Source organism: Homo sapiens, chromosome 3 (genome assembly GCF_000001405.40).
Source record: "Homo sapiens chromosome 3, GRCh38.p14 Primary Assembly".
NCBI lineage: Eukaryota > Metazoa > Chordata > Mammalia > Primates > Hominidae > Homo > Homo sapiens.
In genome coordinates, this window is record NC_000003.12 from 116,050,916 (window position 1) to 116,068,745 (window position 17,830).

General features: G+C 37.1%; 1 protein-coding gene and 1 long non-coding RNA gene across 6 annotated transcripts in view; one reads left to right on the plus strand and one right to left on the minus strand.

The window, feature by feature from the left end:
• Nucleotides 1-17,786, plus strand: part of LOC124906269 (uncharacterized) — a 277,601-nt gene extending 259,815 nt beyond the window's left edge. The window contains exon 3 of the long non-coding RNA XR_007096010.1: nt 17,014-17,786. This is a non-coding gene — a long non-coding RNA (uncharacterized LOC124906269). The remainder of the gene's footprint in view (nt 1-17,013) is intronic.
• LSAMP (limbic system associated membrane protein) overlaps nt 1-17,830 on the minus strand; it is a 643,114-nt gene that overhangs the window by 248,542 nt on the left and 376,742 nt on the right. Inside the window, exon 1 of one of the 5 annotated variants that reach the window (XM_024453520.2) lies at nt 241-17,020. The exons of the other annotated variants lie outside the window; for them this stretch is intronic. Coding sequence (XP_024309288.1) covers nt 241-337 — 97 coding nt within the window. The 5' untranslated portion in view covers nt 338-17,020. Of the gene's footprint in view, nt 1-240; nt 17,021-17,830 lie in introns of those variants that run through there. 5 annotated transcript variants of the gene reach the window in all.

Genomic DNA, 17,830 nt, shown 5'->3' on the forward strand with positions numbered 1-17,830 from the left:
CCAGAATGCCAACAGGACTCCCAGCAACAACTTCAGAATTCCAAGAAAGTGTTAAATAATAAAAACTAGCACAGAGTACTTGAAATGGTGATATAATAAAATCTTCTTTCATGTCTGCCTCCAGCAGAAACCTGGTGGCAGTAGCAGTGAGGGACATATTTGGGAGCCTCATTTTCCCCTCCAGAGGTAATGGAATCTACAATTCAAAAAAAGAAGGAAAGAAAGAAATCACTTCAGTACCTGGCACAGCTAAAAGTTGTGAATCATCAAGGCCGGCCCAGGAGCAGCAAGGTGAATGACGGTGACCTCCCTTGTCAGGTTTTAGCCTCCCGTACATTTGGCATGCAAAACATAGGTTTAAAATAGCTTTCCTGCAGGTTCCATGTGACTCGTCACTGGACCCAGCCAGCACAAAAGGGTTGATTAGTGAGGGAAAAAAAGAGAATCTTCTCCTGAGATGACTTCCAAAAGCTGCTTCTTGCAGCACAAATCTCCCTTTGAAAATGCAGAACTGGCTAGGAAAGGCAGCAGCATTCTCTCCTCCAAATGATTGAATTTTTCTTTGGGAATCCTTTATTATTGTTGTTGTTGTTTGTTTAAAGAATGTCACCTTCCAGCTCCAACAACCCTTACTTTGGAGAGATATCAGGATGTGAAAAATCAAGGGGCAATCCCTAAAGCCATCACCCTAGCTTTCTTACCCACTAGCTTTGGGCAGACAGAATCCAGACCCCTCTTTACAGAAAGTAGAAAGTTTTGAGCAATGGCTTCTTGACCAGATCTGGCTGTCAGCAGAGGCACAGGGATGTCATTTGTACTTTGGCTGCCCACCCAGAAAGCGATGAGGGCCTCTCTTGTCATGGCTACCAGTTGGAAGTCACTGGCAGGTGCTCATCGGTGAAATGGTGCAGGGGGCTGGGGAGGGGGTGATTTAATTTTCCTCTGCGGATGGAGTAAAATTGCTCTCTGGGGGAATACTAGTGGAACAGCTGTCATACCACCACCAACTGCTTCAGAACTTCTTTGTATCCTGTATTATTCTTTAAATGTTGAGCAAAGCAAGAAGTGCTAAGATGTGAAGTAAGAAAGAACATAGAGAAAGGTAAAATTTAAATGTAGAAAATTGTATAGTAGGGAGAAGAGCCATGACCTGAAACTTGCCATTTTTGGGCTGGCCAGTGATCCAAGTACTTCAGCACTGTAGACAGAGGGCCAACAATGAATGCTTCACAAGGATGCTGTGACTGATAGATGATGATCATGAATAAAATCCTCTCTGGTTAGTGTCAGCAATGAAAAGAAAGGAGGAGAAAAGGAAGGAGGAGGACAGAAGTAGAAGTGGATGATAAAGAAGAGGTGGAACAGCAGCAACAGGAGAAGAAGAGAGAGACAGAGAAAGGGGTAGGGGATGAACACCCCAACTCAAAATTTAGAAGAAAAGAGTCAGAAGAAACGTTGTATGTGTTTTTCAGTTTCCCCTTTATTCTATTAAATCTCTTGGGTTGTAGCTTTCACAAATAAGTATGTATTTTAAACGAAGAAGACAATCGTATAAAATTTATATTTTTAATATAAATGTACTATAAGGATTTCTTCCTTCCTGGAAACTCCGGACTGGCTTTAATGCCTCTAGGTCTCTGGTAGGTAAGCACCGTCCCCGTGAGGCTAAGAAGTTCAAATTTAAAGGATGATGGGCCAAACAAGACAAAGCATTCTTGTGTTTAACCTCTGTTGAGAAGAAATTATTTACCTGCTAGCTACTAGTTCCCAGGCATTTGGGCTCAATTACCCAGGAAACTTCTTTCAGAGAGGGCCTGCACTCATCCATTCTGGTAGCAAACAAGTCAGTGTGACATCGTTCAAGGTGCTCGTGTGCTCCCAGACCAATTTCACATCTCATTGCTTAGTTGGACGGAATTTGATTGTACATGCTCCCTGGACTCTCTAACCTGGTGCAGAGAATCAACCAGTTCTGAAGCAAAACTTGGTTTCATTAAATGGTGCATAGTGGAATGCAGAGTGAAACCACTGGAAATAAAATCTGGGTAAAATGTCTCTATTTATAAGTCAGCCTGCTCTTAGTGGGGAGGAAGAGAGGATGTTCACTCTTAAGCCCAGTGGCACCAGCCATCACCTGATGTTTACTGTCACCCAAAGTAGAAATTCTTATTTCACACTTGAAATATGGAAATATGGATCTCAACAGTAAAACTGAGAACCATATCTCAGATCCACAGCCCTGACTACAAGGATGCTGTGACTGATAGATGATGATTATGAATAAAATCCTCTCTGCTTAGTGTCAGAAATGAATGCTTAGTGTCAGCAATGAATGCTTAGTGTCAGCTTTTCAATTCAATTAAATCATGGTTATTGAGCTTCTAGCTCAAGGTACTTCAGGGAAAAACAGGCAATTTCCTCATCCTTCTTTCCTGCCCTCAGTGTTCTTACAATCCAGGAAGTGAGACAGGAATATAGGCAACCATGGCACAATGAAATGGGTGACACCATGGAATAAAAACAACAAGCTAAAAGAGTTTTGAGGAAGGAAAGGTAATTTATGAATTGTGCAAACGTCTCTTTGAGGATATAGCATTATACTGGACCTTAGGGACAAGTAAGTTGAATGAAAATGTATAGAAGGGGTGAAGAGGAAATTGTAGGCTAAGGAATGCTTTGGGCACAGGTTCAAAGGTGGCAAACTTAAATGAGTTTTCAGAGATTGACAAGTAGTTTGATACGACTGAAACATGAAAAATGTAAGTAAATGAGAGACAGAATGTAAGGAAGTTCGTGGGAAAGATGAATGTCAGGCTGAAGTGTGGTATTATATTCAGTAGGTAATGTTGAGCCATTCAAGTCTTTTTGCGTGGGAGAGTAATAGTCAGTGCTGTGTCTTTGAAAGGCAGCTCTAATAATGAGGTGATAGGTGGACTGGAGGATTTTAGAATACAGGAAATTGGTAAATCTGTTTTCCTTTTAGTTCTATACATTTAACACTTTGTTTTTAAATACCATATTACTTTCCTATTTCAGTTATAGTCAATTAACTCAAACTTGGAAATTTAAGGCAGCTCAAACATATTATCTTACAGTTTTAGAGATCAGATGTCCAAAATGGGCCTCACTGGGCTAAAAGCAAAGTCGTGGCATGGCTATGGTCCTTCTTGAGGCTGAAGAAGGAATCAATTCCTTGCCTTCTCCAGTTTAAAGGCTCTCTGCATTCCTGAGCTCCTGGCCACCTTCCATCTTCAAAGCCAGCAGTGCAGCATCAATAATCTCTTTTTGATTTTGACTCTGAAGCTATGTTTTTGTCATCACTTCTCCTTCTCTGATTCTTTTAAGGATCCTTGTGATTACACTGGGCCAATTTAGATAATCCAGGATAATCTCTTCATCTCAAGTCGTTAATTTAATCATATCTGTGGAGCCCTTTTTGCCTTTCAAGGTAACATAGTCACAGATTCCCAGGATAAGGAGTAAACATCTCCAGCGTGGGGGCATTATTCTGCCTACCTCAGACATACTTAGCCCAGAGAATAAAGCAGGGGTGAAATGTGAAGATCTAAGCATGGGCTCCTACAGACATCTTCTAGGTTTCAGCCAGTGAAATTGGTCCTATTCATGGTCTCTCACAGGTGAATCAAAGTAGCCCGAGAGAAAAGGGCTTCACTCCTCCACCAACACCTTCAAGCCATTTTATATTACTTATAATCAACACTGAATAGAATAAAGATTTAATAAATATACAAATGATTACATGCACTAAATATAAAAAGTAAAAACATAATTTTTGCAAAAAAATGTATTAAATATTTGGAAGACTAAAATCATTTTTCTATCCTTGACTGAAAAATTAGCAACACGGTCTGACATTTACAGTCACATTTATCACCACGTGGTTATGTTCTGCTGCAAGATTGAAGAACAAAAGTGCCCTGTGTTTGGGGTACTCATTTCTAGGGTTTGGTGTTTTGGAAAGTTTGTCTTTTTTCTTATTCTCTATTCTATTTTCCATGTTCCAGGTACATGAAAATGTATTCTGAAGTCTGAATACAGCTGATATAAGAATGTAGCACATCTATTCTGAAGTCTGAGTATAGGTGACATAAGAAAGTAGTACAAAGATGTTGGGCTTGGAATTCAGGCAAACACCCTATTTTGTCCCTGATTTGCTGTGCAAATACACATTATCACACCTCAATTTTTCTGTGTGTTACTCAGAGATTTAAAAAATTGGCTCTTGATATGCTATGGAAATGTGTTATAAAAAGAGATTGCCTATGTGAAAGCCCTTTGAATAAAATTCAAAACTGATGGTGGTTACTGCATGGTTACTGACATGCGCTATTTGTCATGCACAGTGGTACACTAGGGATACCGTGATAGTAACATGCCACCTGAAGCCAAAAGTGGGCAAGAGTGACCTGGAAACAAGCACAGTGAGTTGTGGTCATTGCCATAACAGAAACACATAAACTGTGTGCATATTTAACCTTATTTGGTAGTTTAATAATTAGAAATGAATGTGAGGATTTGAGGAGTCTATTTAGAATGACGTAGGTAAGTTTTCTCTAGAAGTAAGACTTGAAGGGTTAGGTCCCCCTGCCCAGCCTTTGGAAGACACTGCCCTGCCTCACACAAAAATGAAAATGACTACATTTGACAATGCCCTCTACTCACAAGTAACCTAATGGAGAAGAATAAGGCTCTTTGGAACTCATTGCAAACCATGTTTCCTGGTCCTGGCTCACCCTGGGACCTATTCCAGGATCAGTCATTTTCGTAATCCTTCAAATATATGTGGAAGAAGTGAAGAGTGATTGGAGAAAAGTGACAGTGAATTCCATATGCTTTCTTTGTAAATCACTTATATAGCAAATCTGCATAGTCTATATGTCAAGAGAGGATTTTTCAAGCTAAGGTTGCAAATTCCATGTGGGTTCTAAAATTCTGCCTGTTCCTACATCATCACTATTTTCAAAGAGTTTGCACTTGGAGTATAACTAGCATTATAACTAAGCAAAAGATGGAAAAGGATCCCTGCTTTTTTTTTCCCCCAGCTCTTCTGATTCACACGACTATTGAGGGAGCAGCTTCATTAAGCCTGGAGGCTTGCCTCTTATAAAATAAAGGCAAGTTTCTAATGCCATGATAATAAGGAAAGACATGGGTTTCAGTCCCCACTCTGATATTAATTTTATTTATTCATGTATTATTTATTTATTTATTTACTTTCATCCTAGAATGTATATCTGCTACATGAAAGACTATAAACTCGGGAACAGAATTACCATGTCATAACAGTTAGTATGCATAATGTTCTGGATACTAACACAAAGATGGTCTGCTTTCCTGAACTATTGTCACTAGGCCACATCTTTCTCATATTAGGGATGAATCAAACTAAGTTATCCACACTCCTGTCCATTCTCTTCTGTGATCAAATATAAATGTTGAACTAGTCTGGGCTAAAGTGAAATCTGGTACAGACCTACCTAGCTAATTTAGGAATAGAAACCAAAACTAAATATATGATTCGGACAGAGAAATTGGCCTAAGTAACCCAGATATGTCATAATGGTACTTATTATTAGTAGAAAGTAGAAAGCACAGAATATTATACAACCATATAGTCAGAAACACATTCTGGGAAAAAGACTAGTTCTAATTAACTCTCTGAGCATAACGCTTATTTTTAATAACAAAGGCATCTTTAAGTTTAGAGAGGCAACTTCATGAAATATGATTTTAGCAACACTTCTCTCCATTTTCTGTGTTTTCTTTGCTGTTAATGTCTTCTTCATCCCCCAGAGATACCTAGTGCTCACAATAAACCTTTCTTTCCTGTTATGGGAGAAAAAGTAACCAAGAAACAAATCCTCATCAAGACAGTGGGATCTAGATACAATACCATCTGAGAAGTTATTATTCATTGATTTGCAGATTCACTAAGTAAATTTTTAGTGACTAGCTAGTATGTACTGAGTGGTATCTCAGATGTGGCATTCATAAAGAGAATGACACAAAAAAAATGGCCTGGTGTGCAATACAAAGGAATGTATAGTAAAATTAAGCTATGAAGAATTGTGGGTGGATCCTTTATGAGGTTTGCATATATCATTTACCCAAAGCCTGACCTTGTCTGTGGCAACTGCTGTGACCTCTTCTTAACAGCTTTTCCACTGAATGTCAAGATCCTTTGACAAACTATCCTATTTGTGGTTGTTGTGGAGCCACTGGTTCCTAAAAACTCTCACTTTGGATATTGCTTTGCTTAGTGGCACATTTACCAAAAAAGTAAAGATGAAACAGGAGAGAAACAAGACTGATCAACCAGGTATTAGATTATAGGTAAAAAGAACTATAGTAGGTAAAATCCTATTTTGGCATTTTTAGCCATACATACATCTGGAAATTATCTTCATGTAGAGTTGTCTTTCACTTTTATCTGCGTAGCATCTTTTCTTCAAAGAATTGTAGTCACTTGGTGTGGCTTTTTGTCATACAACTTGACCTCCCTTGATATGGCATTGGTCATCAAACTAGTCAATCAGATTACTATGTCCCTTAGAAAGAGTACTTGGCTAATGAGTGAGCATTGACTAAATCAGAGCCAGTCAGATTATTTCTTTCAACAAACTGAAATGGCTGAAAAAAGAGGAAGAGAGAAGGAAAGGGGGAAAGACAGAGGAGAGAGGTTGGCTCTTTTTTCTTCTGAGATCTCATATATTATCTAGTCTGGAATTTCCAGGGTCATCTTTCCCATTGTATGCAGAAGCACTTAGGTAGAGAGAAAAACATAATTCTTATGACGTCATTTGAACTTCCAGATTCAATCATGCCTGAAATTAAACACCCTTGTGTTTTCCAGTTACATGGGGGCATACTTTCCCCTTTCTACTTAACTTATTTTTATACATTTTTGCCATTGAATCATTCACTCCAAAAAATTAAAAGACCATGACTTGTGGTTTGAATTCCCTTCAGCTTGAAGTTTGGCACTATATAGTAGCTACACACACACACACACACACACACCCACACACACACACACACACACACAGAGTGAATGGTATTTATTCTAGTGAACCTAGAGTGCAGCAGCATGGTACAGTGGAAAGAAAATTCTACTGGGAGTTAGATGCCATACATTTAATGTGGTATTATCTACAATGAATATATTTTACTTTTTAAATAAAGAAAGGAGTGAAGGCAGCTTTATTATGGAAGCAAAACAGGGAAGGTCTGGGTTTTATCTTCACTTCTGATACAAGCTAGCTCTTTGGTATAGGCAAGTCATTGTAACATTTTAATCCTCAGTTTCCTCCTTTGTAAAGTAAAGAGCAGTGGGTCTCCCACTAGACTCTTGTGATCCCTAGATGTTTCATGTAACACCACAAGAAGTGGAATATGAGAGGTGGAATATGAGATGGAATGTGAGATATCCAACCTGTTTTCTAAACCAGAGGAACACTTAACATATTTGCTCTATCTACAAAGCTTGAATGTCAGTTTCCAAGGGTTTCTGTAGTATAAAATTTTGAAAAAAAAAAAAAAATTAAAAAGTTTTTTAAAAATGGGGCTTGATAATTCCTAAGTCCTTTTTAGTTTTAACACTCTTTGAAGTTAATCCCCAAGTCAAAGTTTCTACTAGAAATATAGTAATTTACTCACAGAAAATAGTCATCTTCTGTAATTGCTTTTACTTAATCCAAGCCTGTTGGTCACATTTGAACATTCAGAGTCTTTACTTTTGTGAAGTATGCTGCATAAAAGTTAAGAAAATTTAGTTTGGGTGTTCAAGTTCATATTTTAGATACTCAAATTCAGAACACTTTAGGAATAGAAAAAGCACAAACCCTATTTATATCATTGGGACATAAATGTTAAACTGAGAAGAGTGATAAAGACTCACGTGTTTCTAAGACACATACAGGTCTTCAGCTTCTTAGCCATTAGGAAAGGAACCAAGCAAAGATGAATAATATTCATAAACTAGTACAAGGGTTTTGTTTGTTCGTTTTTTTTTTTATCATTTCCAATCAACACTGACTCCATGCTTATGCTGTGCTAGACATCATGGCAGATGCCTTCGATACATAAAGGGCTGTGACACATTCCCTATCTAGTTAAGAACAGACATGTGCCTTAAACATAATTATAGCTGCAAAGTTGCAAATGATAAATCTCCAGAGATTAAAATTTCTATGTCCAAATAAGAGGGTAACTCATTTAGAACCTGGCTGGCTGAAATTACAAATGATTTATGTTTCACCCTGGAATCTTATTTTACTTCTTGGTGGATTAGAGAGGTAAATTATTTTTATTAGAGGATGTTTTGCATCTTGCAGAGATAAAGTATCAAAGCTTTTTGCCTTATGCAACTCTTTTCAACTACTCATATTTTTGAACAGATTAATGCAAGAAAATATAATCAGGAGAAGATGTGTTCCTTTAGCTCTGCTTCTTTTGGAACCCCCTTGGTATTTTGCTTATCAAGTTGGAAGAGTTGTGGCAGAAGATATCTAGCTCCTGAAAATTCTGAAGATGAAATAATTATCACCTTCGTTCTACTTTTCTGAGCTATCTTCCTTTTTCTGCCAACATTTTCCACACCAAACACCATGGTTCACCTGGATAAAGGTGCAGCACAGTTCCACCAAAGGAGCCAAGGGGCTGAGTCTTTTTCAGCAGGTAGAGCTAGTGTATCCTAACACAGGAGTTTTCATAGAAACTTCAGCTTAGACAATCTATGAGCCTTCACACACAAGCAGCCAAGCAGATACAAATGAGCTCTTTTAATTAGGTATCTGGATTTATATTGGCTGACTCAGCTCCATCTCAGCTTTAGAGGATGAAAAATCACCTGAACGCTCTCTAATGAAATACCCCTTGCCCTAGCATGTGAGTGCTTGTCTGAGTCACCAGGAAGTGTAATAAGGAACACTCAGGGATCCAGCTGTGTATGCAGCCCTCCTGCTGGAGGTAGGGCTGGCTTGTCCCCACCACTTGGAGTTCTCCCTGAGTCACTCAGTTCCTGGCTGAGTACAGCCATTCTGTGATTTATGTTACATACCAATGCCTCCAGGCAGAAAATGCTGATAATAATTGCTTGCTATGGGGGATTAGGAAAAGGCAAAGGCTTTCTTTGGGATTTCCTTTTCCTTTCTTCTCTCTTCCCTTCCCTTTTGTCTCTTTCCCGCCTTTCTGCTTTCCTAACCTCCCCTTCCTTCATTTCTCCTCTTCCCCCTCTCTTGCCTAAGTCTTTAAAGCAACATAGTTTTTTTTTTTTTTACTAGCAGCATTGTAAAGGTAGCCAAATAAATTCTGAGTATGAGTTCTTTATTTCTCGCAAGTCAAAGTAGAAAGTTGAAAAAACTCACAAATACATCAAATATACCTTAAAGAGGTAAACCAACTATTCGGTGAAATTTTATAGCTAAGAAAACCCAAGTGCTAATGAATAGGTAGTTTCAAAATCTGAGATGGAATCTCTAAAAAGGAGGGATTACTTTTAAAACACACACACACACACACATAGACATAAAATGTATTCATTTGTCTGGGTGCCGTGGCTCACGCCTGTAATCCCAACACTTTGGGAGGCTGAGGCGGGTGGATCATCTGAGGTCGGGAGTTCGAGACCAGCCTGACCAACATGGAGAAACCCCATCTCTACTAAAAATACAAAATTAGCCGGACATGGTGGCACATGCCTGTAATCCCAGCTCCTTGGGAGGCTGAGGCAGGAGAATCGCTTGAATCTGGGAGGCAGAGGTTGCAGTGAGCTGAGATAGTGCCATCGTACTCCAGCCTGGGCAACAAGAGTGAAACTCCATCTCAAAAAACAAACAAACAAAACAACAACAACAAGAACAAAAACCCACAAAAACATATTCATTCATTTCGCAAAATTTTGCACCTACAATACCTGAGGAACTTGACTTTGAGAGATACTCAAATAAAAAATAAAATACCACAATGAGAAATAAATAAAATAAAATAAAATAAAATAAATATAAATAAATAAAATTAATTTTTAACATTTTGCAGTTTACTTTCTAGTAGACAGAAATCTATCAGAAGACATGAGAATATCATCCTCAAGTTGCCAGGGAAATGTAAACATATAGAATGGAATCAGGGACTAGGAGACCGCTGGGACATCTAACATACTTTAATCACATTTCATTTAGTAGCACCTGTTCAATTCTCACAATATTTTAATATTAATATTTTTATTTTGCAAATAAGCAAACAGAAGCTTTTCTGTATCAAGTAAATAGCTAGTCATTAGCAGAGTCAGCATTTGAATCCAGGTCTCTCTGCTCCAAAGCTCATGCTCTTTCTGGCATACCACACAGGAAAGAGAACTGTCCATAATTCACTTAATGGAATATGATTTTAAATAAATTTAAGCAATTAACTATGAAAAGCTGCTTAGGTTCTTTCTCCTTAGGGGGCTGAGGGAATAGCCTGTCATGGCCGGGCCTTAATTATCCTCCATGCATGGGCATGGTGATACAGCCCAATCAGATGTGGTGAGAGGCATGGTAGGTGGTGGTGGTGGTAAGCAAATTGTGTTCATCTTCACTTCCTTCAGGTCTTTACTCAAATGTCACCTTACCAGGGAGGATTTCTATGTCACACCATTGAAGATTGCAGCAGCCCCTGCCCCTAAGTTCCAACACCTCCAGTATTCTCCTTCCTTCCTTTTCTCCATAGCACTATCACCTATCACCATCAGATATATTGTGGATTTTTGTTTATCTTCTTTATTAATTACCTCCTGGTCTGGAATCTAAGCTTCATAAAGGGACAGTTTTTGTTTTTTTGTTATGTTATCTTAATTATTTATATTCACTGCTCTATCCCCAGCATCTAGGAGGCAAATAGATATTAAACAAACATTCGTTGAATGTATAAATCGTTAGTAATTTTTAGGCAGCAAGGTATAAGTAGAAGGAATTCAAGGATATTATTGCTATTTCCATAATCTATTTTATTTGTTCTTCTTGAAAGACAATGTGACTCTGTGAAATAGGGGCACTTACTCCAAATAATTACAACATTTTTTTCCTGAGGAATTGGACTAGAAATTGTGGAAAATGGAGCTTCCAATCTATCTGTGGTGTTTGAATATTTTATATTTAAAAAACATGTTCATAAACTACTTATAAAATAAAAACAAAATAAGTACTAATAAGCCAATGAAATGGAATCAGCTTCATTACTTTACTGGGTCTCAGCTCTCCTGCCCTCCCCTTAATGATAGATGGCCACTGATTTATACTCAGTGTGAAATCCAGGCCGGGCATGGTGGCCTATGCCTGTAATCCCAGCACTTTGGGACACCAAGGCAGGCAGATCACTTGAGGTCAAGAGTTCGAGACCAGCTTGGCCAACATGGTAAAACCCTGTCTCTACTGAAGATACAAAAATTAGCCGGGCGTGGTGGTGCACAACTGTAATCCCAGCTACTCAGGAGGCTGAGGCAGGAGAATCGAGAATCGCTTGAACTCAGGAGGCGGAGGTTGCGGTGAGCCGGGATTGTGCCACTGCACTCCAACTTGGGCGACAGAGCGAGACTCCCTCTCAAAAAAAAATTAAAAATTAAAAAGTATATACTCAGTGTGAAATCCAAAGTGCAGGAGGGTCTCTCTCTCTCTCTCCCTTTCTTTTCCTTCTTCAGACATAGACGGGATCTGTGCCAGTTATGTAACAGTCTTCTGCGAGCTTTTCAGAAAATTTATTTTTCAAAAATATGTTCTTATTTCAATAATGTAATTATTGTTCAAATTATTCCTGGAATTTATTTCTGAAATTGACTTCAAAGACCTTGATATCTTGGTACCAACACAACAAATATTTACTCACAGAGCCCAACTCCAGATATTAATAATTAAATTGTGTAATTAAGTTGGGTAACACTGTGTTCAGTGAAACAAACTTTCATAAAACTGTAAAACTGTATTTCTTATTGTTCATAAATTTATCAGTAAATGAGAAATTCTCCAGAAGGGTGAAAGGACTACAACATGAGAAGAGTATTCCATTCAAGTCGTGTGAATTATTTTGAGGAATTAAACTTATTTGAATTTTATAAACAATTCTTATACTGCTTATAAATTGGTTTTATTATATATTACCACTCCTTATGTACATACATATTGTGTGTGTGTGTGTGTCTGTGTGTGTCTATACATAAATACCTTGGATTCAGGGAGAGTAAATTTTCTTATCTAATTTAATTTGAAGACCAAATCTGGATATCTATTTATGGTGTCTTGATCTTTGCATTTGACAAACCTCATTAAATATTTTACAATAGAAATTGCTACAGTTTTTAGAACTCCTTCTGAATTACACACAATACAATTCTTATAGTACTTTAACAGTTAAGCTTGTTGGTACACCCTGAAGAACAAAATCCAGCCTAAGCCTTTTGTTACTAATGGGAAAAAGAGATTTATTCTCATCCATTGTCAAAGGCACCTCAATTTATATTATGATTCCAAGAATAGGCTTATCAGTCCTACAGGAAAAATAAACAGAATAGCTGTATATCCTACTTTCAGAAAGCCCAACGTTGCATTGAAAACATGAATGCAAAACAAATAAATTGGAGAATGTTGTTACATTAAAAGTTAAGAATAAATGTTTCATTTTGAGAGATATTTACCAATATAATTTTGAATACTGAAAACTGTTCCAAGGCATTTATGTGTATTTAAAATTGTTAACTACTTGATCATGATGAGGTACAAAGATTATTAGAAATTATTATGAAATAAAAATAAACTAGGAAATAAAACATTTTAAAATAATGACAGTTTATCAAAAATAAAGATTAAGTTTAGTATAGACTGTAAAGTAGGTATCTATTGCAAAAAAAACTACAAAAAAACCAAATCTTCAAAAAGCATGGAACCCTATCAAATCTATTATGTTGCGTCTAAACCAGTTTCCTTCCAACATCTAATTTTTTCTCTTCATTTTGAGCATACTTTAAACCACTGTTACTTGCTTTTCTTTTTGTTGTCTTTTGTCCAAATTCTGAATAAACACGATAAAGTGGGTGGTAACATAGAGTAATGAATTAATAGATTATTTTCCCCTTTTAGGGGTTTGGTCTCAGAAGAGAGTTCTAATGAAACTCAGTAATTTACTAGAGCAAATCTTATTAATAGTCTTCAAAGGTATAACCTCTTCCTCTTTAACATCATAAGCATTTGGAGTTTCCTATGCAAGATAAATATAAAAGCTTTCAGAAACACAGAAAATGATTTTGTACCGTTTTTCTTCTCTATGGAAAGTCAGTCTGAGGCCAGGCATGGTGGCTCACGCCTGTAATCCCAACATTTTAGGAGGCCAAGGCAGGCATATCACCTAAGGTCAGGAGTTCGAGACCAGCCTGACCAACATGGTGAAACCCCGTCTCTACTAAAAATACAAGCATAGTGGTGGATGCCTGTAATCCCAGCTACTCGGGAGGCTGAGGCAGGAGAATCACTTGAACCTGGGAAGCAGAAGTTGCAGTAAGCCAAGATCGCACCACTGCATTCCAGAGCGAGACTCCGTCTCAAAAAAAAAAAAAAAAAAGTCAGTCTGATGAGTTATTGAAAATAATTTTCTTAGTGTGAAAAAGCAGTAAAGCATAGCCCATATGTGACTAACATGTTTTTAAAGTATTAACAGATACAATTAAAATGAAAACAACAATAATACCTAATAAAAAATTGAGCACCTACTATATCAGGCAGTCTGGTAAAGACTTTAGATTACAGTTTCTCTTAATGGTTACATACACACACAGAGACATACAAACAACTATGATTGTTATTGTTGCATTCTTTATAGAAAAGGAAACTCCAGCACAAAAGGTAATATAACTTGCATGGTATCACACAACTAGTAAATGAGTCAGACTGGAATGTAATTCATATGGTCTGACCTTAGAACCTATGGTCTTAAGCCACTACGTACTAAACATTAAGGCTAGATATGGCATTTTGGCAAGTCCATAGTCTGAAGCTCTAAATGTGAAGTTCAATGCAATATAAAATAATAATAATCATATTTTTAAAATTATTTACCATGTATGAATTGATTTTGTCAGATGGACATTTACCTGATGCATGTGAATGGAATTTAACAGTAGCCACTTTGTCAAATATTACTTAGAAGACAACATATCCCAAAAAAAGTCTCCTGTAAACATATGGATAACGTTTAGTTTGGATTTGTGACTGAGCTAGCAAAGGGTTCTACGAATAGCTGTTTACTCCGACTGTATGAGCAGTATGCTGAAGGTGGGTCTGAACCATGCTTATGCCAAGTGAAATAAGAAGAGAAATGGGTAATTTTAAAACAGTTAGATTTATATATCATTCATGATATTTATCATTTCATCAGACAGTAATGCCTCAAAGACAATGTCTAGTTTTTTGCAGCTATATATAATATTTTAGTTTTTATATTTGGTTGATATCTGTGAAAAATTATTGTTTGCTGTCTAGACACTCAAAATGCTTTTCCAGTGATCTGTACTGTACTAGAGGGCTATACTTGGAATAAATACAGACTAGTCATGTGGATCATCTTTACTTTCTGCACTTTTAGCATAAACTAGTTTTGTTATCATAATCCACTCCATTTCTTAAGATCTTAAATTATAAAATAGGGACTGTAATATCTAACACCACACATTTCACAGGTATGCATGGAGCAAACCCAGCAAGTATTTTGTCTCAGCAGTTTCTCCAGATGGCTATTTCCTTGCCAACTCAAATTAAATATGCCCAAGAGAACTGTTTACTACCTTTTGTTTATATTCCTCCTCTGTCTAAGGAAGCAGCATGTTAGCAAAACGGGCAAACAAGCAAATAAACTAAAATAACTTGTGGAATCCAACAGACCTGAGCTCAAATCATGACACTGGCACATATCAGTTGTATGAACTTGGATAGTTATTTATTATTTTCTGTTTCCATTATTTTATCTATACTAGGGATGATAATATACACTCATGTGTTTATATAAGGTTTATAGATAATGAATATGAGTGTTTGGAACATACAGTAGTGTCTTTATGCAGGCTGCTATAACAAAATACCATAGACAGTGACTTATACAACAGAAACTTATTTCTCACAATTCTGGAGACCGAGAAGTCAAAGATCAAGGTGCCAACAGGTTTGGTGTCTGATGAGGACCCACTTCCTGGTTCATAGATGGCTGACTTTTCACTTTGTCCTCACAGAGTATGGAAGGGGAAAGGGACCTCTCTGGGGCCTATTTTACAGAGGCACTAATCCCATAAGTGAGGGTCGAGCCTAATCACTTCCCAAATACCACATTTCCAAATAGTATCACACTGGGATAAAGTTCTAAACTGAATTTAGCAAGGACATAAACATTCAGTCTATGACAAGAATGTTCTTCAGGATAGGAGCTGCTGCATCAGCAACCACCTGATGCTCCAGGTCATGACAGAATAATGAGGTACAGAAGATGTCTTCACTTCACTTGTAAACTCTTTATTGTTCTTCACACAAAACTGAAATATTTCTGTCAGATATTATTGTCTTCATTTGTTGAAAAATTACCCCATCCTCTTCACTCATTAGAATTCTAACCTGGTTACCTTTTTTTCTGATACCGCCACTTTCTGGAAACTGCCTTTGCAAACATCTTGCTTCAGATTATGTTTTCCATTTGAAGACCCCACCCATCATATTTACTAAATTAACATCCTCAGTTGACCTTAAGAAATTTGCAATCTCACAGCAAATAAAGGCTAAGATTCTCAACCACCTCTAAGTTCTTTATATGATAGCTCCACCCTAATAGATCTCTTCCTGTTCACCAACCACTGTCACTGTTCCTAAGACCACTTTATTTCCAAATATTTATTGTTTATTTATCCAACTCCTATTTCCTTTAAGCTACATTCTTCATGTTCTTTTTATCCAATGTGCCTGCCCCCATTTTTTTTTGCAAATAAGTATTCTATATTTGATATTTCAAACAACTGTGGAAATCTCATTTGTTACAGAATCCCTGTGATATTACTATTTAGAAAGAGAAGCCTCAGCTTAGAAGTTCATTTATCTGACTTAGCAGAGCAGTTCTTACCTTCTTAAGTTCTCCCCAACTTAAGGAAAAACATCAGTAACTCCCTTCAATGTGCAAATCCCACAATCCTCACTTCAGGCTTCAACTTGACTAAATATATTCCTTTAATGTCTTCCTTTCTATATTCCTATGATGCCTTAGTGTCTGAGCTTGTACCCTCCTAGAGAGCATATAATGTGTCTGCTTCAAATGGTAGCCCATGCATATAGATGACTCAAAAATATTACTGAAGTTGATGAAGAGAGAGATGAACAAAAATGTGGCATTACTGGCTACTCTGCAAAACACAAAAACCTAAAATTCTCATTTTACTCAAACCAATTCTACCATCTCATGCCTAGAGGCACTCAAGCAGTAAGGCTGCACAGCTTATACACACTGCTGTGAAATGTGGACCTCATACAGCAGCCGAGGTATATAAATATGCAAATCATAGATGTATACAGAAACAGCCTTCCAGTAGAGAACACCAGCTGTCACAAGCAGCAAACTCACTCTGAGGACTTGGCACTGGTGAACTGGCAAATACCCCCTGGTTGTTGCTGCCCCATCAATCATGGGCCATTTGGCCGGGCGGCATTCTTGAACAGGTTTTCTCCCCTTTTTAACTCCGTTAAAGAACATTATTTTAAGGTGATGTAATAAGCTCCTGTAAAACTTGATATGACTGTCTGATACAGGAGAGTTCATCTCTTGATGTACACCTTTCTGTATCTTGCTGTTGTTTTTTTTTAAAAGTCTGCATCCCCCAAAACAAAAGCATCAAATTAATGTTATATTTATCTTTATTAAATAATTATTATGAAAGGTTTTGCCGATACATGCTTGATGAGCAGTGTGCAGAATTTAACAGTTTGTTAATTTGTTTTTCAGACACGATTGAAAACTATTGACCCTCAAGTTATCACAAATGGTTATGAAATGGAAATGGAATGGGAAGGAGTATGAAAAAATAAGCTGAATACTGACAAACCTAAGGTACCCCAAAGTCTATGGAAACTCCAATTTAACGAGGGGATGAATAAGAAATTTACTTCTCAACAAACAACAAATAATGGTTTATAACCATGGAAGCATTCTGAGAGAAGTAAATATGTCATCGATTTTAAATAGCAGTGTTATCCAGCAGAGAGCAGATCAATGAAAGTTGCATAGGTTTTCACATGCTTCAGGATATTAAAGAACAATCCCATTTCCCCCCTCTATAAACCATTCCATCCAGAAGAGTAATTTTAAATGTGCTATAAATCATTATCTGTTCAACAACCAATCTGCATTCAGAAAAGTTATATCCATTCCTATTCTTCTTCCTTGGAACAATTTAAAATGCTCTCATTTTTTGCTAACCTGTAGGCCTGCTTTGGGTCTTCTGACTGGATATGTGGTAAAAAAAAAATAAGTTATTTCTCAAATTTAATATAACAAATACTAGGAGAGAAAACTGATGTATTTTCTTTAGAAAAAGTACTCAATGATTATCAGTTGGGCAATGTTTATTACAGCCTTGTAAATGGGTCGATAAGATTTATTGCTGTTTCAAAGATAGAGTGAACAATATCTAGATAATTACAAAGATTTGCTTCATCTACACAAAGGTAGAGTGATGAAGAATCATAATGAATAAAGACTAAGATTTTCATCAACTATCTCAACATTCTATATATGATTGCATCCTCTCCTGTGAACTTGA